Here is a 24248-nt window from a genome sequence, read left to right as displayed (position 1 = left end):
AGATGAGGCAGGAAGATTGCTTGAGCCCAGGAGGTTGAGGCTGCTGTGAGCTGTGATCGCGCCACTGCACTCCAGCCTGAGTAACAGAGTGAAAAAAAGAAAAAAATCTCAACTTAAAAAAAAAAAGAAATGCTATACCTCTACCTCCCGGGTTCAAGTGATTCTCCTGCCTCAGCCTCCCAAGTAGCTGGAATTACAGGCATGCGCCACCACACCCGGCAAATTTTTGTATTTTCAGGAGAGATGGGGTTTCACTCTGTTGGCCAAGCTGGTCTCGAACTCCTATCTTCGTGATCCGTCTGCCTTGGCCTGCCAGTCTTGTGATCACAGGAGTGAGCCACCGCACCCGGCCTTATTTTTTATTATTTTTGAGACAGAGTCTCGCTTTGTTGCCCAGGCTGCAGCACAGTAGCGTGATCTTGGCTCACTGCAACCTCTGCTTCCCAGGTTCAAATGATTCTCCTGCACCAGCCTCCGGAGTAGCTGAGATCACAGGCGTGCGCCACCATGCCCGGCTAATTTTTATATTTTTAGTAGAGACAGGGTTTCACCATGTTGGCCAGGCTGGTCTCTAACTCCTGACCTCCAGTGATCCGCCCACCTCAGCCTCCCAAAGTGCTGGGATTACAGGCGTGAGCCACTGCGCCTGGCCGAGAAAAGGTCATATTTTAAATTTCTGTAGGCATTATGCCTGGAGGCAAGTGGAACATGGTGGCTGGCAGCAAGGAATCTGGGGACCAAAACTGTTAAATCTGATTCTAGCTCCTGCTCCCTCCGTCTGACTGCATCACTGTGTTTCAGTATCCTCATCTCCAAAATAGACAATGATTGTGCCTGTCTCATCTGCCTGTGAGAACGAAATGCAATGTACTTACACACACAGTGCTTAGCACAGTGCATGGCACACAGTAAGCAGTTTATATATATAATATATACTATATATGTATATATTGTATATGTATATATGTGTATATATAATATATATGTGTATATATAATATATATGTGTATATATAATATATATGTGTGTGTATATATAATATATATGTGTGTGTATATATATAAAATATATATATTCCTATTTGTTTATTGTTTTAGCGATGGGGTCTTGATCTGTTACCCAGCCTGGAGTACAGTGGTATGATCATAGCTAACTATAGCCTTCAACTCCTGGGCTCAAGTGATCCTCCTGCCTCAGTCTCCCGAGTAGCTGGGATTACAGGCAGGGTCACCACAGACAGCTTAGCCATTAATATCATTGTTGTTATTTTTGCTAGAAGAAAAATAAGTTTCCAGGGATGTTTGCAAGATATTGTCATTCAATGTTTAACTCACAGTTCGGGGATTGTAACTTTCAACCTCACTTCAGGTATGGTATGTAAGAAATGAAATACGCCCACTTTGGTTTTACACAAATTCTGTTTGTCTGATCTACTGTACTTCAAACACATAGGCTGGTTTACTAGAACAATTCAGGGCACTGTGTCCACATGTTTTCCCTAGACGTGGGTCCCTAGAGTAACACCGACCACCAATAGCAATTTGGGTATAAACATACTCTCACAGGACAAACTGGCTCCTTTGAAGATGGTCATGAAATAAATATCCCAGAATTCCCACTCATTCCACGGACATTAAGGAAGTGAGATGATTACGGGGGAGTCGACAAAGGTGGGAAGGTAACCGATGGATGGGAGGGGAAGGTTGTGGTGCTCACGGCCACATCAATAAGGCTCAATACATTCCTTGGGGACAGGAAGAAGAAATTCAACTAGTTTCTTGAAAGGCGGTCCTGAAATTCACAGGGGAGAGCGGATATTCCAGGAGGCAGTCTAAGTTATCTGAGGCGTGCAACTCACCCAGTGAGACCAAGTTACTGTAGTTCTCCAGCATCACGTCCCAGTACAGGTCCCTCTGAGCAGAGTTCAGACAGGCCCACTCCTCCTGAGAAAAGTCTATGGCTACGTCGGCGAACGTCACCAAACCCTGAAACAGAAACCCACACGTGCATGATGAAATGAAAGGAAACAGCTTCCAGATGAAGGAGACAGGAGGCCACCCTCTGGGTAGGGTGAACACCGTGAGCAGACTGAACACCCGTGACATCGGCAAGGGGCGGTAAGGACATCACTGTAACTGTGACGGAAGCAGAATGCCTGCATGTCACTGAAGAGCTCTACCGCTGCAGAGAAAATGACTTTACTGTGCAGAATCCTCAGTTAGTCAAACCTGCCAGGAAGTGGATAAAACAATCCAAGTTTTCTTCTTGCTTACAAGCAGTGTCTGCTACGTGCCTGCCTTATAAGTTCTCAACAAGTGTGGATTCCTACAGCATTTTTTCTTTTAAGGGGGGAAGAAAAATCAAGATTTCTGTTTAAGAACTTTTATTTTAGAAAATAGGGTTTGCTGGGGCTGGGCGGGGGGCTCACGCCTGTAATCCCAACACTTTGGGAGGCCAAGGCAGGCGGATCACGAGAACAAGGCAGGCGGATCACGAGGTCAGGAGATCGAGACCATCCTGGCAAACATGGTGAAACCCCATCTCTACTAAAAATACAAAAAAATTAGCCGGGCGTGATGGTGGGCGCCTGTAGTCCCAGCTACTCGGGAGGCTGAGGCAGGAGAATGGCATGAACCCGGGGTGGTCAGAGCTTGCAGTGAGCGGAGATTGTGGCACTGCACTCCAGCCTGGGCGACAGAGCGAGACTCTGTCTCAAAAAAAAAAAGAAAAGAAAAGAAAAGAAAAGAAGATAGGGTTTGCTGGGTGTGGTGGCTCATGCCTGTAATCCCAGCACTTTGGGAGGCTGAGGCAGGCGGATCACCTGAGGTTGGGGGTTCGAGACCAGGTTGACCAACATGCAGAAACCTCGTCTCTACTTAAAATACAAAATTAGCTGGGTGTGGCGGCGCATCCCTGTAATCCCAGCTACTCAGGAGGCTGAGGCAGGAGAATTACTTGAACCCGCGAGGCAGAGGTTGAGGTGAGCCAAGATGGCACCACTGCACTCCAGCCTGGGCAACAAGAGTGAAACTCCGTCCCAAGAAAAAAAAAAAGAAAATACGGTTTGCATGTTTGAATGTTTTCAAGCCTCCAGTTCATCATGCCAAACTACATTTTAAGCAGTCTTCCTTTTAAGCATTTAAAAAATTCCCACACAGGTAAGTCAGACTGTTTATTACAGTTATTCACTTAGGTTGCCCAAAACACCTAAGGCTTTCTCCGATTCTGGGGTATGTGATCATCTCCTACTTCCATACTGGAAGATCTTCATATTTATTACCATCCATAACCCTGCCTTTCCCCCGTTCCTGATTTTTTTTTTTTTTTTTTTTTGAGACAGAGTCTTGCTCTGTTGCCCAGGCTGGAGTGCAGTGGCATGATCTTGGCTCACTGCAACCTCCATCTCCTGGGTTCAAGCAATTCTCCTGCCTCAGCCTACCAAGTAGCTGGGATTATGGACACATGCCACCATAGCCTGCTAATTTTGGTATTTTTAGTACAGATGAGGTTTTACCATGTTGGTCAGGTTGGTTTTGAACTCCTGACCACAAGTGATCCACCCACCTGGGCCTCCCAAAGTGCTGGGATTACAGGTGTGAGCCACCACACCCGGCCCCCTGTTTCTGATTTAGAGGATAAGGATGTCAGATGACTTAGAATCATCTTGTGGTCTGAGAGATCCATTCAATAATAAAATTTATCCTCCAGTTTCCCGGCAGGAACATGACCTCTGTTCAAAGGTCCTAATCACAGCCCCATCCCTTTCCAAAAGTCCCATAAAGCTTGGGATCTGAGCACATACTAAGACAGACCGGCGAATATGAGCATTCCCTCTTATCTACGCAGAAAACATGATCAGTGGAGGATCTGTTTCTCATGTGGTCAGATGGGACCAACATATCTAACTCATCAAACCACAGACTTGACTTAAATATTTCCCTCAAAGGACTTTGCTACTTCACTGCTCCAAAATTACCCTTGCCAAAAAAGGGAGCAAACAGGAGATACTTAATCACCTGCTCAGTGATTTCCCAAAAAGGCAGACACGGAGCTACGTGGCATTATCATTCACTGGAATAGAAAGAGCTGGGAAACAGGTAATTATAAAGAGCTTGACTAGATAAAAGGCTTCAGATAATTCACAAGCAGATGCACAGAACGCAAATATCATAGCTCAAGAAGGAAAGAGAAATATACACTTACCTGGGCCATTGTTTTAGAACTGAAGAACTGATCAGTCTTCTCGGGGTTTCCACTGAAGAAGACAAATTCCGAGAGGCTAGAGCTAGGGGTGGAAAAAAAGAGATTAAAACGAGGTGCATCTGGGGTCCCCATAGTGATGTAATATGACCTTTTGGCTCCTCTGTCTTGGCTTCCCAACACAAACACATAACCGTGACATATCTGGGAAAGGTGAAGAGTATCATGGATCAGGCCAGGTGCGGTGGCTCACGCCTGTAATCCCAGCACTTTGGGAGGCCGAGGTGGGTGGATCACAAGGTTAGGAGATCGAGACCATCTTGGCTAACACGGTGAAACCCTGCCTCTACTAAAAATACAAAAAATTAGCCGGATGTGGTGGCACGTGCCTGTAGTCCCAGCTACTTGGGAGGTTGAGGCAGGGGAATCGCTTGAACCCGGGAGGCGGAGGTTGCAGTGAGCTGAGATTGCGTCACTGCACTCCAGCCTCTGGTGACAGAGCAAGATTCTGTCTCAAAAAAAAAAAAAAAAAAAAAAAAGAGTATCATGGATCAAACCTAAACCAAGCTCTCAATGAAACCTCAGGAAACCTAGCTGCACACAGCAGAGGAGGCTTTACTTTTTTTTTTTTTTGCGCCTCAAAGACAGGCCCAGACAATTTAACAGGAGGGCTCCATTTCTGGCCAGCTCCCTGTCGGGGACGGATGGGTGGGATGTAGTAAAGAATGTGTACTTGCCTAAAAAGTAGTCTGGCCTTTGCCCTCTGGTGCTGAAAGGTAATCTATATTACCTCTAAGAGGAATGTCTTTGTTTCTGATGGGGGCTTGCTATGCCAGAAATACTAATCAAGGGATTCGGGGTAGGAGCTTTTGGTCACGCAGTATCAGCTGACCTGGACACTAAGATTAACCATGTAGACAGTTAATCCACCAACCAGTCAATCATGTCTACATGCTGAGGCCCCAATAAAAACTTCCAACATCAGAGCTCTGGTGAGCTTCTCTAGTTGGCGATAGTTGGTGCCTGTTGTCACACATCAAAGACAGCAGAGTAATGAGTCCTGACTCCACAGGGAGAAGACACCAGAAGCTCTGTGTCTGGAACCCTCCTGGACTTCAACTTACGTACTTTTTTTTTTTTTTTTTGAACGGAGTCTCACTCTGTTGCCCAGGCTGGAGTGCAGTGGCACGATCTCGGCCTACCACAACCTCTGCCTCCCGGGTTCAAGCGATTCTCCTCAGCCTCCTGAGTAGCTGGGACTATAGGCACATGCCACCATGTCCAGCTAATTTTTGTATTTTTAGTAGAGATGGGGTTTCACCATGTTGGCCAGGCTGGTCTCAAACTCCCGACCTCGTGATCTGCCCTCCTTGTCCTCCCAAAGCGTTGGGATTACAGGCATGAGCCACCACACCTGGCCACGTACTTCTTTCCTTGGGTGATGACAATCTGTATCCTTTCCTTGTAATAAACTGTAACCATGAGCATAACATCTCTCAGTGAATTCTGTGGGTCCTTTTAGTGAATAGTTTTTTGTTTTTTTTTTTTAAGACAGGGTCTCACTCTCATCCAGGCTGGAGTGCAGTGGTACAATCTCAGCTCACTGCAGCCTTGACTTCCTGGGCTCGAGCAATCCTCCCACCTCAGCCTCCCGAGTAGGTGGGATTACAGGTTGCACCACTGCACTTGGCTAATTTTTTTTTTTGTAGAGATTGCGTCTCACTATATTTCCCAGGCTGGTCTTGAACTCCTGGCCTCAAGTGAGCTTCCCACCTTAGCTTCCCAAGGTGCTGGGATTATAGGCATGAGTCACCATGCCTGGCTCTAGTGAACTGTTGAACCTGAGGGCGGTTTGAGGAATCCCCACCAAGCTTGCAGTGGTGTCAGAAGTGAGGGTGGTCTTCTATGCAGACCATACCCATGAGCCTCATAGATTAGCTAACTCTGGATGGGGGGATTGTGATCTAGGATCAGACAGTGGGTGCTCAGAGTATTCAGTCTCATTCTGAGCCTACCCTGGCCCCTCCAGACAAGCTTCCAGGGTGAACAGGGGCTGTATTATCCAAACTTGGGCCTCTTCTGGCCTCTAGATTGGGTGATGTTACTCACAACATGGCAGGTGGACAAGAAACTGCTCAGGTAATATACAGAACTGTTTTTTTTGTATACCAGAGGTGACATCTGAGAGCACTTTTGAGTCCAGAAAAGCTGACAGCATAATTACACACAGAATATCAAAGTAAAATAGTAAATGATTACTGAATGTTAAGTTAGAAAGATATTTAAAGACATGAGAGATATTTCAGACATACTCTCAGTAAAGTTAGGTTACCAAAACAGAATGACACAATAACATTTGTAAAATTCCATATATAAAAATACACACACACACGCATCTGTCTATATATACACATACACATACACATGTATATATATGGAGAGAGAGGGAGAGGAGGAGAGAGGGAAGGAGGGAATGCAGAACCATACACGCTGACAAACCAACCCTAAGATATCAGTAGAAAAATAAATAAAATAGAGATATAAAAACAGAGAAACAGAAAGAAAAAATCCGGGAAGTTCTACGACCCCTTATGCAAAACAGTTAACACACTGAACTGGAAACTGCCATGCTTAGGCTGCTCGCAACACTGGCCCATGGCGTCTGAAAACCACACCCGAGTGTTCTCACTCTTCTTTCACGTGTAAGAGTGGCTCGCTGTGCCTAAACTGAGCCTGGTTCCCTGCTAACCTGTCCTATGCAACCTCTCCCTCTTCTGATTTTGCTTTGTATCCCTTCGCTGGAATAATCAGTATAAACAATGTGGTTTACACGGAACCCTTGGTTTCCTCCGGGAGTCCAGAAGATTCAGATTGTGCGAGGCAGTGTGTGCATGAACCCTGATCAAAACCTTGCACTACCATACAAAAATTAGCTGGGCCTGGTGGCGGGTGCCTGTAAACCCAGCTACTTGGGAGGCTGAGGCAGGAGAATCACTTGCACCCAGGGGGCAGAGGTTGCAGCGAGCCGAGATCATGCCACTTCACTCCAGCCTGGACGAAAGAGCAAAACTCTGACCCAAAACCAAACCAAACCAAACCAAACCTTGCACCAGCAGACTCTGGTGAGCTTCCCTGGTCGATAACATGGAACAGGTGTTGTCACAATGTGATGCTGGATGAGCCAGGCACATCCGGTGTGATGCCCCTGGGAGAGGACTGAGGAAGAGGGAGCCTGGTGCCCTGCTAACCTGTCCTATGCAACCTCTCCCTCAGCTGGTTTTGCTTTGTATCCCTTCACTGGAATAAATCGGTCACGAGTAGGTCTAGATGGTGAGTCCTGTTGAGTCCATCTAGAGAAACAAGGAACCTGGTGGTGGTCCTGACAGCTCCTGACACACCCCGTGATCTTGAGTGTCTTCATTTCAGTGCACCTATTTGTTGCAACAAAAGGCATGCATTCCCTTATCAAATATAAATGTGTACTGATTTGAAATGTAGTCAGAGGCAATTAGACTCTCCAAAGACAAAGAAGGTTTCTTTTTTTTTCTTAAAAAGTCTACTCCTAGCCATGGTGGCTCACTCCTGTAATCCCAGCACTTTGGGAGGCTGAGGCGGGCGGATCACCTGAGGTCAGGAGTTTGAGACCAGCCTGGCCAACATGGTGAAACCCCGTCCCTACTAGAAAAATACAAATATTAGCTAGGTGTGGTGGTGCGTGCCTGTAATCCCAGCTACTCGGGAAGCTGAGGCACAAGAATTGCTTGAACCCAGGAGGTGGAGTTTCCAGTGAGCCCAGATCGTGCCACTGCACTCCAGCCTGGGTGACAGACTGAGACTCTGTCTCAAAAAGAAAAAAAAATAAAAATAAAAAAGGATAAAGGACAAAAAAGGCCAGACATAGTGGTTCACACTTGTAATGCCAACACTGCGCTTTGTGGGGCCACAGTGGGAGGACTGCTTGAAGCCAGGAGTCTGAGACCAGCCTGGGCAACATAGCAAGACCCCATCTCTACAAAAAATTTAAAAAGGAAAAAAATTACCTAAGGTATAAAGCCTAGAAAATAAATTCCATTTATCCCAACAAAGAGTCAGTATATTCAGAATCACCTGGTCATGAATTATCAGTGGCTGTCCACAGAATGATGTCCCCTTCCTGGCACCTCTCTGAGTGTGTGACCTGGAATTCTCCACCGGCCTTGACCACAGGCTGCCTTGAGCTTCTTCTATTTAGTTTCCCTTGCTGGATTATAAACACTGTACAGGCAGCAGCTGAGTCCACTGAATCAGACTCTCATTCCAAGTACGAATAGCCACAGCATCTGGCATATTGCAGGCACTGAACAAATGTCTAATTTTGACTAAAAATTCCACATTCTGGAATTTATGACAAGGAAATAGCTATAGTAGTATATGAATGCATGCCTAAGAATGTTCAAAAAATCAGTTTTTTCTAGGAAAGATTGTCTTTTAAACTGAGATAAATGTAGATACACATGTAGTTATAAGAAATACTAGACAGTGGTCTTTTGTACCCTTGACCTGATTTATGCCAACTGTGACACCTTGCAAAATAACAGTAAAATATCACAACCAGGACAATAACAACCCATGGATCTTATCCAGATTTTCCAGCAGATAATGTTTAAAAATGAAAACAACTGAAATATCTCATAGTAGAGAACACATATATAAATAATGTTATATAATGATATGGAATACATTTACTAATGATATTGATGCAGATTAATTGAGAAAAAATTTCTGATGAATTACCAAGGGAAGAAGGTAGATTTAAAAAATTATGTATAGTCCGGGCACAGTGGCTCATGCCTGTAATCCCAGCGCTTTGGGAGGCCAAGGCGGGTGGATCACTTGAGGTCAGGAGTTCCAAAACCAGCCTGGCCAACATAGCAAAACCCTGTCTCTACTAAAAACACAAAAATTAGCCGGGCATGGTGGCACATGCCTGTAATCCCAGCTTCTTGGGAGGCTGAGGCGGGAGAATCGCTGGGACCCGGGAGGCAGAGGCTGCAGTGAGCCGAGATCGCACTACTGTACTCCAGTCTTGGCAACAGGGGAAGACTCCATCTCAAAAAAAATAAAATAAAATAAAATAAAAAGGTACGTATAATCTGGACAGAGATGTTTTGCTGAAATTAAGGACACAGGCTTGGATGAACTGGCCCAGGTCAGAAATAGAGGCAGTCAAAACTCCTGTGCTGATCAGTAGTGGGATGGTACCTGTGAATAGCCACTGTATTGCAGCCTGGGCAACAGAGTGAGACTCTGTCTCAAAAAAAAAAAAAAAAAAAAAGAATGCAGGCTCTGTGCTCTTTTTTTTTTTTTTTTTTTTTTTTGAGATGAAGTCTCGCTCTGTCGCCAGGCTGGAGTGCAACGGTGTGATCTCGGGTCACTGCAACCTCTCCCTCCCGGGTTCAAGCCATTCTCCTGCCTCAGCCTCCTGAGTAGCTGGGACTACAGGTGCGCGCCCACGCCCGGCTAATTTTTGTATTTTTAGTAGAGATGGGTTTTGCCACCGCACCTGGCAGCTCTGTGGTCTTTCAGGATGCAAACCTGAGCTCTGATGATTACTAACCTCACAGTGTCGGTTTCCTCACTGGTAAAGCTGGAATAAAAATACCACAAGGTATGACTGCATGAACTATTAACTAAGATAATCTATCTACAACATGCAGTAATACACAACAATTATTTAATGTAAATTAGCTGTTATTATTGAAGATCAACATTACACATCTCAAATTTTATAAAATAATCAAGTCTGCTTTTTTTTTTACTTACATTAAAATATATTTCTCAAGCCAGTTGCCAATATAATGAATGCAAACTAAAAACAATTTTCAGAGCTTAATGTGTGAAGAATGAAATTCTGTTCATTAGCAAAACTAGCAATAAAGATTCTAAGACACATTTAGGGAAATGTTGCCTCTCCACCAGTAAGTAGAGAAAAGAGACATGATTCTGCATTAAAAAATCCAGCTTGGCTGGGTGCGGTGGCTCACACCTGTAATCCCAGTACTTTGGGAGGCTGAGGTGGGTGGATTACGAGGTCAGGAGTTCAAGACCAGCCTGCCCAACATGGTGAAACCCCATCTCTACTAAAAATACAAAAATTAGCTGAGTGTGGTGGTACAAGCCTGTAATACCAGCTTCTTGGGAGGCTGAGGCAGGAGAATCGCTTGAACCCGGGAGGCGGAGATTGCAGTGAGCTGAGATCACGCCCTTGCACTCCAGCCTGGATGACATAGCAAGACTCCTTCTCGGGGACGGGGGGTGGGGGGGTGTGGAATCCAGCCAGCTTACAGAACCTATTTCGAGAAGATGCCAACTTGCAAACATTAGCAAGAGGGTGAATCTGGTTTTTTGTTTTTTGTTTTTTTAAGAGACAGTCTCACTCTGTTGCTGAGGCTGGAGTGCAGTGGCGCAATCTCGACTCACTGCAACCTCTGCCTCCCGAGTTCAAGCGATTCTCCTGCCTCAGTCTCCTGAGTAGCTGGGATTACAGGCATGCGTCACCATGCCCGGCTATTTTTTGTATTTTTAGTAGAGATGGGGTTTCACCATGTTGGCCAGTATGGTCTCGAACTCCTGACTTCGTGATCTGCCCACCTCGGCCTTCCAAAGTGTTGGGATTACAGGCATGAGCCACAGTGCCCGGAGTTTTTTTTTTTCTTTTTGAGATGGGATTTTGCTCTTGTTGCCCAGGCTGGAGTACAGTGGAGCGATCTTGGCTCACTGCAACCTCAACCTCCCAGGTTCAAGTGATTCTCCTACCTCAGCCTCCCAAGAAGCTGGGATTATAGGCGCTTGCCACCATGCTTGGCTAGTTTTTGTATTTTTAGTAGAGATGGGGTTTCACCATGTTAGCCAGGCTGGTCTCGAACTCCTGACCTCAGGTGATCCACCCGCTTTGGCCTCCCAAAGTGCTGGGGTGACAGGCATAAGCCACTGCACCCGGCGTGAATCTTGTGTTCTATGTGAAATGGAAGATACATGTGAACATTTTTAACTATTGCCATCTTATCACCTCATTATTTTATCTTGCAAATGTTACTTACACAGTCTTTGTTACTTGTATCTATAACCTTGCTAATGTTACCCAGAAAGTCCATATTTGTAAGGCACCTGATGATTACTTAGAATTTATCAGTGATTACTGTCATGTTCTGGGAAAGAAACATTACAATTCTAGAATCTCTAGCTATTTTATCTTATTTTTTGAGACAGAGTCTTGTTCTACCATCCAGGCTGGAATGCTGTGGCACAATCTCGGCTCACTGCAACCTCCACCTCCCAGGTTCAAGCAATTCTCCTGCCTCAGCCTCCCAAGTACCTGGGATTACAGGCGCGCGCCACCACGCCTGCCTAATTTTTGTATTTTTTGTAGAGACGGCGTTTCACCATGTTGGCCAGGCTGGTTTCGAACTCCTGACCTCAGGTGATCTACCTGCCTCAGCCTCCCAAAGAGCTGGGATGACAGGCACAAGCCATTGCACCCGGCCTTCTAGTTTTTTTTTGAGATGGTCTCACTCTTTCACCCAGGCTGGAGGGCAGTGGTGGGATCACGGCTCATTGCAGCCTTAACCTCTTGGGCTGAAGGGATCCTCCCACTTCAGCTTCCTAAGTAGCTAGGACCATAGGCACACACCACCATGCCTGGCTAATTTTTTAAATTTTTGGAGAGATGAGGTCTCACTATGTTGCTCAGGTTGGTCTCAAACTCCTGGCCTCAAGCAATCATTCCACCTTAGAATCTTTAATTTTAAAGGCTTTCTTGATAATTTGCTGCTACAGATTAGATTTAAAACTAGATTTAAAGAGTCTCTGGAGTAGTCACATGATTAATTAGCAAAATTCCAGCTCCAGAAAGAAAACACATACCTGCTTAAGGGCAAAGAGGAGGACTAGAAACATTAATTACAAAAACGAGGACCAGAAACAGTAATGACCTGTGGATCGCACAATTACGGGTAATTTAGAGAGTTTTCTCTAAGAGCTCCTCAGGGACTAATTTGTTTTTTTTTTTTTTTTTTGGCCAGCAGGCCTGCATTAATCCCATTATAATATAAGAAATTTACTGAGATAGTCCCAAATTAAAAGAAAATGCCAAACACAAACATAGTTATGGGGGAGCAGGCACACTGTAGTCATTAAGGAAACTCTGAATGGATAGGCCTGCCTCTCAAATGTGTGTATGTGTGCACATATATTTTGCGACAGGGTCTCACTCTGTCGCCACTGGAGTACAGTGGTGTGAACCCAGCTTACTGCAGCTTCGATCTCCTGGGTTCAAGTGATCCTCCCACCTCAGCGTCCCTAGTAGCTGGGACCACAGTTGCACATTACCACGCCTGGCTAACTTTTGTATTTTTGTAGAGGTGGGATCTTGCCACTTTGCCCACCTCTCAAATGTGTCTCTATGGTAATTCCAGTACTTTCAAATATGTTACCTTGTATGGCAAAGGAAAATTAAGGCTGCAGATGGACTTAAAATGGCTAATCGGCTGCCTCTAACATACGGAAGATTCTCTTGAGTTATAGAAGCAAGCGCAATGTAATGACCAGAGTCCTTAAACTTAGAGGAGGAGGGTCAGAGTGGTGTGACGGAAAAAGGACTTGTCTTTTCAGGCTTTGCTGATGGAAGAAGGGGTCACGAACTAAGGAGTGTGGGCGGCGTCTAGAAGCCAGCAAAAGCAAGGACACAGAATATCTCCTACAGCCTCCAACAACCTGGTTTTAGCCCGGTGAGACCCACTTCAGACTTCTGACCTCTATGACAGTAAGATAATACATTTGTGTTGTATGACGCCAATAATCTACAGTAATTTGTTAAAACAGCAAAAATAAACTGATATAAGGCCTAATATTGAAAAAGTAGTGTCACTGAATCAGGCATAACCTTCCTGTTATGGAACATCCTTTCACTGTGTCTCAGTAATACAATCAGACCTTGTGATATAATTGTGTGTATGTTTGTGTATATGTGTGTCTATCTGTGGGTGTGTATATGTGTCTGTATATATATGGTGTTTATATATGTGTATGTGTGTGTATATGGTGTGGGTGTATATATATATGTGCATATATATGGTGTGTGTATATATGTGGGTGCATGGTGTGTGTATATATGGTGTGGATGTGTATATATGTGTGTATATATATGGTGTGTGTATATATGTGTGTGTATGGTGTGTGTATATATGGTGTGGATGTGTATATATGTGTGTATATATATGGTGTGTGTATATATGTGTGTGTATGGTGTGGGTATATGTGTGTATATATGTGTGTGTATGGTATGTATATGTAGGTGTGTATATGTATATATGAGGTATGCATGTGTATGGGGTGTGTGTGCGTATATGTGTGTGTATATATGGTGTGTGTATATATGTGTACGGGGTGTATATGTGTGTGTGTGGTGTGTATGTATGTGTGTATGGTGTGGGTATGTATGTGTACATATGTGTGTGTATGGCATGTGTGTGTATATGCTCGTGTGTGTATGGTATGTATATGTGTATATGTATATATGTATATACGTGTGTTATGGTGTGTATATATGTATATACGTGTGTGTATATATATATGTATATATGGGTATGTGTGTGCATGTGCGTATGGTGTATATGTGTATATATGTAGGTGTGTATATCTGTGTATATATGGGGTGTGTATATGTGTGTATGGTTTTTATATGTGTGTATATATGTAGCTGTGTATATATGGGATGTGTGTGTATATGTGTGTATATATGGGGTGTGTATGTACATGTATGAATGTGTATATATGTGTGTATATATGTAGGTGTGTATATGTGTGTATATATGGCGTGTGTGTATATGTGTGTATATATGTAGGTGTGTATATATGCATATATATGGTGTGTGCATGTGTGTATGGTGTGTATATATGTGTGTATATATGTATATATGGTGTGTGTGTACGATGTGTATGTGTGTATATATGTAGGTGTGTATGTGTATATATGGGGTGTGTGTGTATATGTGTGTATGGTGTGTATATGTGTGTGTCTCTATATGTAGGTGTGTACATGGGGTGTGTTTGTATACGTATGGTATGTATATATGTAGTTGTGTATATGTGTGTGTACATGGGGTGTGTGTATGTATGGTGTGTATATATGTGTCTCTATATGTAGGTGTGTACATGGGGTGTGTTTGTATATGTATGGTGTGTATATATGTAGGTGTGTATATGTGTGTGTACATGGGGTGTGTGTGTATGTATGGTGTGTATATATGTGTCTCTATATGTAGGTGTGTATATGTGTGTATACGGGGTGTGTTTGTATATGTATGGTGTGTATATATGTGTCTCTATATGTAGGTATGTATATGTGTGTATATATGGGGTATGTGTGTGTATATGTGTGTATGGTGTGTATATGGTATGTGTATATGTGTGTATGGTGTGTATGTGTGTGTATATATGTAGGTGTGTATAGGTGTGTATATGTGTGTATATATGGGGTATGTGTGTGTATATGTGTGTATGGTGTGTATATATGTAGGTGCCTATATGTGTGTATATATGGGGTATGAGTGTGTCTGTATGTTCTTGTCCATGGTTCCTGGCTCATAATTCCATAACCCTTGGTAAAATCTTAATATTAGGGCACTTTCAGCCTCAGAAGCAGGCCTCGGGAAGCAGAATCTCTCTCTCATCTTCTCTTGCCCTCCTTTCACCTGCCCAAAGCAGGACTCTCACTCCAGAGAGGGTCCTGCCCTGTACCTGTAGGAAGGAATGCTGCACTGAGAGGCCAAGAAGAATCTGAACAGACGGGCCTTGAGTTTCCCCACTCAATCAATTAGCATTAAATCAACTCTTATTTGTCCAATCACGTTTCAACACATTCGTGCATGCTTCAGTCACACCTATCCAATGAAGTCTCCATAAAAGGCCTAAGAAGACAGGGTGAGGAGAGCTTCTGGACAGCTGAACAGGAGGTGGCTGCTAGGAAGGTACAAAAGAACTCTGAAAAGGTGGCGCACCCCAATTCCACGGGAACAGAAGCTCCTGTGCTTGGGACTCTTCCAACCCTAGTCCTACATATCTCTTCATCTGGCTGTTCATTAGTATCCTTTAAAATATCCTTTGTAATAAACTGGTATATGTGTTTCCCTGAATTCTGAGTCAATCAAATACACTAATAGAAGCCAAAGAGTATAAGAACCCCAACCTGTAGAGGGTTGGCAAGATGTCCCAGAGGCCTGGTCTTGTGGCTAGTGGGGCAGAGTGGGACAGTCTTGCTCACAACCTGTGGAATCTGATGCCATCTCCAGGTAGATGGTGTCAGAACTGAACTGCAGGACATCCGGCTGATGTCCACTACAGCTTGCTTCTCCCCACACATTTAGTCACAAAGCTTATTTTTTTCTGAGACAGAGTCTCGCTCTGTCACCTAGGCTGGAGTGTGGTGGCGTGATCTCAGCTCATCACAGGTTCACAGCCTCCCAGGTTCAAGCGATTCTCCTGCCTCAGCCTCCTGAGTAGCTGGGATTACAGGCATGCGCCACCACACCCAGCTAATTTTTGTATTTTTAGTAGAGACAGGGTTACGCCATGCTGGCCAGGCTGGTTTCAAACTCCTGGCCTCAAAGTGATCTATCCGCCTCGGCCTCCTAAAGTCCTGGGATTACAAGTGTGGGCCACCGCACCCGGCCAAGTCACAAAGTTTTCTGTGTTGATTATCGTTGTGGTGTGAGAGAAGAAAAATGAGTTGGTTTTGTACACACTGACCCTGAGCACAATACTGTACCTAAATAGCCTCTGAAGATACCTGACAAAACTAAGTATTTTATTCCTCCCCAGATTCCTATATTGAAATTCTGTTCCCCAATGTGATGGTATTAAGACGTGAGGCCTTTGGAAGGTGATTAGGACATGAGGGAGGAGTGCTCAGGAATAGGATTAGTGTCTTATAAAAACGATCCCAGAGAGCTCTCAGCTCCCTTTCACCATGTGTGGCCATGGCACGAGGGTGGTCGCCTGCAACCTTGAAGAAGGCCTCACCGGAAGCTGCTTGCACTGGCACCCTGGTCTCAGGCTTCCAGCCCCCAGAACTGTAAGAAATAAATGCTTGCTGTGGCCGGACACGGTGGGTGATGCCTGTAACCCCAGCACTTTGGGAGGTGGAAATGGGAGGATTGCTTGAGCTCAGGAGTTTGATACCAGCCTGGGCAACATGGCAAGACCCTGTCTCTATAAAATATTAAAAAATTGGCTGGGTGTGGCGCCTCACGCCTGTAATCCCAGCACTTTGGGAGGCCGAGGCAGGCAGCAGATTGCTTGAGCTCAGGAGTTCACGACCAGCCTGGGCAACATGGTGAAACATTGTATCTACCAAAAAAAAAAAAAAAAAAAAAAAAAAAAGAGCCAGGTGTGGTGGCTCACACCTGTAGTCCCAGCTACTCAGAAGGCTGAGGTGGGAGGATTGCTTGAGCCCAGAAAGCAGAGGTTGAAGTGAGCCAAGATTGTGCCACTGCACTCCAACCTGGATGACAAAGCGAGACCCCGTCTCAAAATAAAAATAAAAATATACAGCCACATGTGGTGGCACACACCAGTAGCCCCAGCTACTTGGGAGGCTGGGGTGGGAAGATTGCTTGAGCCCAGGGGGCTGAGGTTGCAGTGAGCTATGATCACACCACCGCACTCCAGCCTTGATGACAGAGTAAGACCCTGTCTCAAAAACAAAACAAAACAAAAACAATAAAAAAGGCCCAACATGGTGGCTCACATCTGTAATCCAAGCACTTTTTGAGGCCAAGGTGGGAGGAAAGCTTGAGCTCATGAGATCAAGACCAGCCTGGGTAACATAGTGAGACCCTGTCTCTAAAAAAAAAAAAAATTAAAAAAAAAAAGTTTGCCCTTTTAGTCACACAGTCTATGGTACTTTGTTATCACAGACTGAATCAACTAAGACAAGAATTAAGAGGTGTGTGCAAAATAGACAAGAGACAGTTTAGTACAGAGAATATGTGCTTAATAAATGTGACCAGGCTCCTCTCTTCCTTCACTGAATAATCAGTCGTCATCTTGGATAGGATATTTACAAAACGTCTAATTCAATAGGATTTCCTTTTTTTTTTTTTTTTTTTTGAGATGGAGTCTCGCTGTGTTGCCCAGGCTGGAGTGAAGCGGTGCGATCTCGGCTCACTGCAAGCTCCGCCTCCCGGGTTCCCGCCATTCTCCTGCCTCAGCCTCCCGAGTAGCTGGGACTACAGGCGCCCACCACCACTCCCGGCTAATTTTTGTATTTTTAGTAGAGACGGGGTTTCACCGTGTTAGCCAGGATGGTCTCGATCTCCAGACCTTGTGATTTGCCCACCTCGGCCTCCCAAAGTGCTGGGATTACAGGCGTGAGCCACTGCGCCCGCCGACTAAGTCTCATAAACACATATGATTTAATTAAAAAAAAAAAAAAGATACTCACCTGACCTAAGATGTTTAACGATTCGTCTTCCTCCTCGGGGATGCTTTTTCTGAAGGATGCTGGCCTGGGGAAAACAGAACCAGAAGGGTAACACCTGCCATACCTAATAAAACCAATGAGAAATACGAGGCCCCGAGATGGAGTTTCTGGGAGATTCCTGAAGAGCACGCTGTGGTAACTGAGATGATGAAGCGTGGAGCTGCCCCTCTCCCTGTCTCCCACATCAGGGACGTGTCCCTCTACAGGAGGAATTCTACTCCTGAGGCCACCGTCTCCTGTCACTCAGGCGCCCTGAGTGGAGAGCACTTCTAGCTCTGAAAGCGTCACCTCATGGCTGTTTCTGCCTTCTTGTTGGTGAATTTCCTGGCAGGGCTCAGGCACTCCCGTCCTTCCGCGGCCCTTGTTCTCAGGCAGGTACCGCTTGGTTAGGAGGTGAAGGCAGGGGAAGCAGCAGAGACGCTGGAGCTACAGGTTGTGCTGTCACACACACCTGCGTCACCCAGAAGGCCCGATCATCCATCCCAGCACAGAGAAGCTGGAGCTACAGGTTGTGTTGTCACACACACCTGCGTCACCCAGAAGGCCCGATCACCCATCTCAGCACAGAGACGCTGGAACTACAGGTTGTGCTGTCACACACACCTGCGTCACCCAGAAGGCCCGATCACCCATCCCAGCACACAGAAGCTGGAGCTACAGGTTGTGTTGTCACACACACCTGCGTCACCCAGAAGGCCCGATCACCCATCTCAGCACAGAGACGCTGGAGCTACAGGTTGTGCTGTCACACACACCTGCGTCACCCAGAAGGCCCGACCAACCATCCCAGCACAAGCCTGCACTGATGGCTCAGCCTCACCACAGCACACACTGGCCTGAGACACATCTGCGCCCCTCATACCCACTAACGCCCAGCACGGCCACGCTGCCGGCCCCGCCACTCCACACAGTGCAAAGGCACATCCGTGGGCCACGGAGACCCGTCCTGATCGCCGCCCCCACATATCCCCCAGAGCGCACCTCACAGAACAGAGTCCCGGGGACGCACTGCCGAGGTTCACAGGTGCGGGTTCCGTCGCCCCAAAGCCTCGGGAGCACCCCAGCCCTAGTTATGGGGAGAGCCCGGCTGCGTCACCCCACACCCTCTCCAGCAAGTGCGTCACCGCTAGAAGCTCCGTGCCCGTCTCCCCTTGGAGCCATGGGCGCCAATCTCACCTGCGCGGACTGGCGGAGACACAGCGGTTGCGTCACCGGTGCAGAAGCGCACCGAGCACGGCCCCCATCACCCCCAATGACGCTTGCGTGCACCCGTGTCACAGTTACGGGAGATAGAGCCGCCGCGTCAGCCTCGCACTCCCACGCAAGTGCGTCACACAGTCGGTCCCGCCACCCATGGAGGCCAGCGCGCATGCGCACCCCGGACTCGGGAGGGGCCTCCCGCACCCAGCGGCCGGAGCGCGCAGGCAGCAGCAGAGCCCGACACGCATGTGCGTGCACACAGATCCTGACACGCATGTACACCCAGACCGCGACATGCACGTGTACGCGCACACAGACCCCCAACGCATGCGTGTGGCCAGACCTTGATCCGCATGTGCGACCAGACCCCGACACACATGTGCGCGTGCACAGACGCTGACACATGCACACACTGACACGCGTGCGCGCCCTTCCCACTCCTTCCTTCTTTGGCCTCTCCCGAAGCCACAGGCGCACTCGGCGGTCCCCCTACCCCCATGCTTGGCGCGCACCCCTGGGTTCCTCCTAGGAAGCGAATGCCCTACTCAGGCCCAAACACACAGGGGCTTCGGGAAGGGGTGAGAGGCTTGAGGAGGGCGATGTCTGGGGAAACCAGAGCCCCAAGCCCCGTGTCCCAGCATGCAGCGCCTTAAGTTCCTGGGGGGCCTCTGGGAAACGTAGTCTGGGCCGGTCCCAGGCAGGGGCCTCAGGGCGCGTTCCAGGCAGGCAGCCCCACACTGAGTCCATCTTGCTCCCTGCAGACGCCCGTTCCCGGCTGGGAGAGGGGCTGTGTCACCCCAGCTGGGAGCCCGTCTGGCCTCTGAGTGGGGTGATGCCGGGTGAGCCATGGCTGTCATCAGAAGGGTATCCTCTCCTAGCCCCTCTGGAGCATCACCTGGAATTCTCTGCAGGCCGCCAGCACAGGCTGCCCGAGGTGCTATTCGGTGTCCCTTGCTTGCTGGATTGTAAACAATGTACAGGCAGCAGTTATGCCCAGTTAGTCCCGCTCTCATTCCAAGTACTAATGTCACAGGGTCTACAGGATGTTGCAGGTACTACTTAACCACAGTCTCATTTTGACTCAAAATCCCACTTTTTAGAATTTATCCCAAGGAAATAGCTAGAGTAGTACACACATGTATGCCCAAGATGTTTGGAGATTATCTTGTGTGGGAAAGTTTTTCTTTTAAATTGATACAACCGTAGATTCTTAGGTAGTTGTACACATAATACTGAGAAAGCCTATGTATCTTTCACCTGGTTACACCAATTGGTGATTATAGTATACAGTATAATATCACCGCCAGGACATTCACAATGACATCATCCATTGATGTTATGCAAATTTCAAGACACTAATTTTTTTTTTTTTTTTTTGAGATGGAGTTTCACTCTTGTTGCCTAGGCCAGGATTACAGGCATGAGCCACTGCACCCAGCCAAGACAGTAATTTTTAAAAATGAAAATCTTGCAGAAGATAGAGGAAAATATCACAGTAGAGTACAGAATAAATAAATTAGTCTGTTATATAATGGCATAAAATACATTTACTAATAGTGATACTGATTCATGTAAATTGAAAGACGGTATCATTAATTACTAAGAGAGGAAGGTAGGTTTGAAAGGGTATGTATAATTTGGGAGGAGATATTTTGGTGAAATTAAGAACATAGGCTCTATGTTCTTAATTTCTATAACTTTCAGAATGTGAATCTGAGCTCTAACAGTTATTAACTGCTTGTTTCCTCACTAGTAAAATTGGGATAATAATACTATAAGGTATGACTGTCTCAGCTATTAAATATCAGAATATCTAATACATACGGCAATATGTAAAGATTTTTTAAGTTTGTGGTTACTATTGAAGATCAGTAACATTACACTGATCCTGAATCCAGTTTTAAAAAAGAAACTCATCTGCTGTTTTTAATTTTTTTGAAACAGGGTCTCGCTTTGTCACCCAGGCTGGAGAGCAGTAGTGCAATCTCAACCACACTGCAACCTCTGCCTCCTAGGCTCAAGTCATCCTCCCACCTTAGCCTCCCAAGAGCTGGGACTACAGGTGCACGCCACCACATCTGGCTAGTTTTTGTAATTTTTTTTCTTTTTTTTTTGGTAGAGACGGGGTCTTGCTATGCTGCCCAGGCTGGCCTTGATCTCCTGAGCTCAAGCAATCTGCCTCCTTGGCCTCCCAAAGTGCTGGGATTACAAGCAAGGGCCACTGCACCCGGCCTGCTGTTTTTTTCTTATGCTAAAATATGTACTTGTCAAACCAGCTGTCAATATAGCAAATGCTAACTAAAAGGAACTTTCAGAGCCTGATGTTAAGAATGAAATTTGTTTTGTTTAAGCATGTTAGGTAAAAATATTCTAAGACACATAAGGAGGAAATGTTCCCTCTCACAAGCGAGTAGGGGAACAGAGAGATGATTCTGCATCAAAAATTGTGCTCAAATAATATGATCTTAGAAGATGCCAAACTGGGAACATTAGCAAGAGGATGAATCATGTGTTCCATGTGTTATAGGACATTTATGCAAACCATTTTAATTGTCATCGTACTCAATTTCACTGATCTTGGATTTGTTATTTGTATAGTGGGTATTTTTTACTTGTACATATAATCATGGAAATGTTACTTGTACAAGCAGATTTGTAAGGCAACAGGCGTCAGTGATTACTGTCATGGTCTTTGAAAGAACCATTAAAATCATAGAAAATTTAATTCTGAAAGGCTGTAGAGCCATCCCTCAGTATCCAGATTTGTTCCAGAACCCCCCTGAATATCAAAATCCTCGAATGCTTCAGACTCTTATACAAAGTGGTATAGTATCTGCATATAACCTATCCACATCCTCCTGTACATTTTAGATTCTAGATTCTTTATAAATTATCTTATATGCTATGCTAATAATTTTCATACTGTATGGTTTAGAATAATGAGAAGAAAAGTCTGTACATGTTCAATACAGATGTTAGCATCTGTAAAATAGGATGCAAACCTCCTATTTTTTTTCCCAAGGATATTTTTGATCTGTGGCTGAATCCACAGATGCAGAACTCATTCCAAGGGTGCACTATATTTTTTGATAATTTGTTGCCATGGGATTAGTTTCAGATGATGTGTCTCTACTCCTATAAGGTGTAAATATATGAGAGGTTTTCCAAAACAAGACAAAGATCACTGGCACACCCCTCCCATCCCCACATGCTCACAGGTATAACGTGACCCGTGGCTGGGCTGGATGCCTTTCACAAACTACCATTTGGAAAGTCTTTGATTCATTTACTTTATCAATTAGAAGGATTTAATGTTCCAGAAACAAAAGCACATACATGTTTAGAGGGGAAGTGGAGGACTATAAACATATATACCAAATATGATTAACAGTAATTATCTCTAGATGGAATTATGGGTAATTAATTTTGAGATTCTTCTTTATGAACTCCTTAGAGGACTGAATTTTTTTGCAGTTGGCCTGCATTAATCCCGTTATAAGGAGTGAAAGTTAAGGGAGTCCTAATTTTAAAAAATGATTGGCCAGGCGCAGTGGCTCAAGCCTGTAATCCCAGCACTTTGGGAGGCCAAGGTGGGTGGATCACGAAGTCAGGAGTTCGACACCAGCCTGACCAACATGGTGAAACCCCATCTCTACTAAAAAATACAATAATTAGCTAGGCATAGTGGTGCACACTACTCAGGAGGCTGAGGTAGGAGAAGAGCTTGAACCCGGGAGGCGGAGGTTGGGCCGAGATTGCACCTTGCACTCCAGACTGGGTGACAGAGCAAGACTCTGTCTCAAAAAAAAAGAAAAAAAAAAAAAAAGATTAACGGCCAGGCATGGTGGCTCACGCCTGTAATCTTAGCACTTTGGGAGGCCAAGGTGGGCAGGTCACTTGAGGTCAGGAGTTTGAGACCAGTATGGCCAACATGGCAAAACCCCATCTCTACTAAAAACACAAAAATTAGCCTGGCGTGGTGGCAGGAGCCTGTAATCCCAGGTACTCGGGAGGCTGAGGCAGGAGAATCGCTTGAACTTGGGAGGCGGAAGTTGCAGTGAGCCAAGATCGGGCCAATGCATTCCAGCATGGGTGATACAGCGAGACTCTAACTCAAAAAAAAAAAAAAAAAAAAAAAAAGACAAAATAGACTTTAAATCAAAAACTGTAAAGAGAGGCAAAGAATGTCATTATATAATAAAATTAGTCCATCAGTCAAGATGATATATTAATTATAGATATGTATGCATCCAGCATTGGAGCTCTTAAATACATAAAGCAAACATTAAGAAATCTCAAGGGAGGGTTAGATTTTAATACAATGACAGAAGAGGACTTCAAATCCTACTTTCAACAAAGGAAAGATCATTCGGACAGAAAATCAACAAGTAAACATTGGACCTGAATTACGCTTTAGACCAAATGGACCTAACAGTTGTATTCTGCACCATCTCTCTAATAGCGGCAGCATGTACATTCTTCTCAAGTACACAGGAAACATTCTCCAGGATAGATCATGTTAGGACATGATACAAATCTTAAGAAATTTACAATGACTGACATCATATGAATGACCTTTTCCAACCACAAGGGCATAAAACTGGAAATCAATAACGGGAGAAATTTAGGTAAATCAAAAAATATGTGGATATTAATCGACATGATGCTAAACAACCAATGGGCCAGGGAAGAAACTGTAAAAATATTTTGAGACAAACGTAAATGTAAACACAACATCCTCAAATCTTAAAGAAGGCAAGAGAGGCAGTTCTAAGCCGGAAGTTTATAGCAGTAAATACTTATATCACGAAAGAAGGAAGATCTCAAACAAACATTTCAAGGAACCAGAAAATGAACAAATGGAGTCTAAAGATAGGAAGGAAGGAAATAATAAAGATTAGAGCAAAAAATAAATAAAATACAGACTGGAAAACAATATGAAAAGATTTTTAAAAAAAAATTTTTTTTTTTTTTTTGAGACAGAGTCCCCACTGTTCCCATACATAGGATTTCTAACGTTAGAATCATGAGGCTTTTAAGAATTGCACAAGATGTTTCTCAGGTCCCAAATTCCAGTGAAATAGCTGATGCCAAGCAGTCTGAAGACAACCACAGAGGAACAGAATCAGCATGAGAATAGTTTCTTCATCTTCCTGTCTCATGACTCCACACTGCACTCTTTAAGCAGTGATTTCCACACTTTAAAACCCTTAAAAACCCTAGCTCCAAACTCCCTGGGAGGACGGATTTCATTTTCATCCTACCTCCTTGTTCTGCAGCCTTACAGTAAACCGTCTTTCTTTGCTGCAACCTGCTGTATTGACATGCT

General features: G+C 45.1%; 1 protein-coding gene across 30 annotated transcripts in view, besides 2 other annotated features; it reads right to left on the bottom strand.

Moving 5' to 3' along the window:
• ZNF331 (zinc finger protein 331) overlaps window positions 1-24248 on the bottom strand; it is a 77035-nt gene that overhangs the window by 6681 nt on the left and 46106 nt on the right. For 11 of the 30 annotated variants that reach the window (XM_047439049.1, XM_047439057.1, XM_047439058.1 and 8 more), the window contains 3 exons: window positions 17681-17744; window positions 4204-4285; window positions 1859-1985 (listed from right to left, as the gene is read on the bottom strand). In XM_047439049.1, coding sequence (XP_047295005.1) covers window positions 1859-1985; window positions 4204-4212 — 136 coding nt within the window. In that variant the 5' untranslated portion in view covers window positions 4213-4285; window positions 17681-17744. Of the gene's footprint in view, window positions 1-1858; window positions 1986-4203; window positions 4286-9796; window positions 9827-17680; window positions 17745-18007; window positions 18350-18700; window positions 19091-24248 lie in introns of those variants that run through there. The other 19 variants (XM_047439053.1, XM_047439051.1, XM_047439054.1 and 16 more) reach the window with 9 other exon arrangements.
• Window positions 19426-19625: an enhancer, noted in NCBI's record as "active region_15071". NCBI's record gives its function as "activates an Ori minimal core promoter by ATAC-STARR-seq in GM12878 lymphoblastoid cells {active_cell/tissue: GM12878}" and the evidence as "EXISTENCE:reporter gene assay evidence [ECO:0000049][PMID:35858748]".
• Window positions 19696-19745: an enhancer, noted in NCBI's record as "active region_15070". NCBI's record gives its function as "activates an Ori minimal core promoter by ATAC-STARR-seq in GM12878 lymphoblastoid cells {active_cell/tissue: GM12878}" and the evidence as "EXISTENCE:reporter gene assay evidence [ECO:0000049][PMID:35858748]".

Source organism: Homo sapiens, chromosome 19 (assembly GCF_000001405.40).
Source record: "Homo sapiens chromosome 19, GRCh38.p14 Primary Assembly".
In the NCBI taxonomy this organism is placed as follows: Eukaryota; Metazoa; Chordata; class Mammalia; order Primates; family Hominidae; genus Homo; species Homo sapiens.
This window is presented reverse-complemented; position numbering and strand designations above follow the sequence as displayed.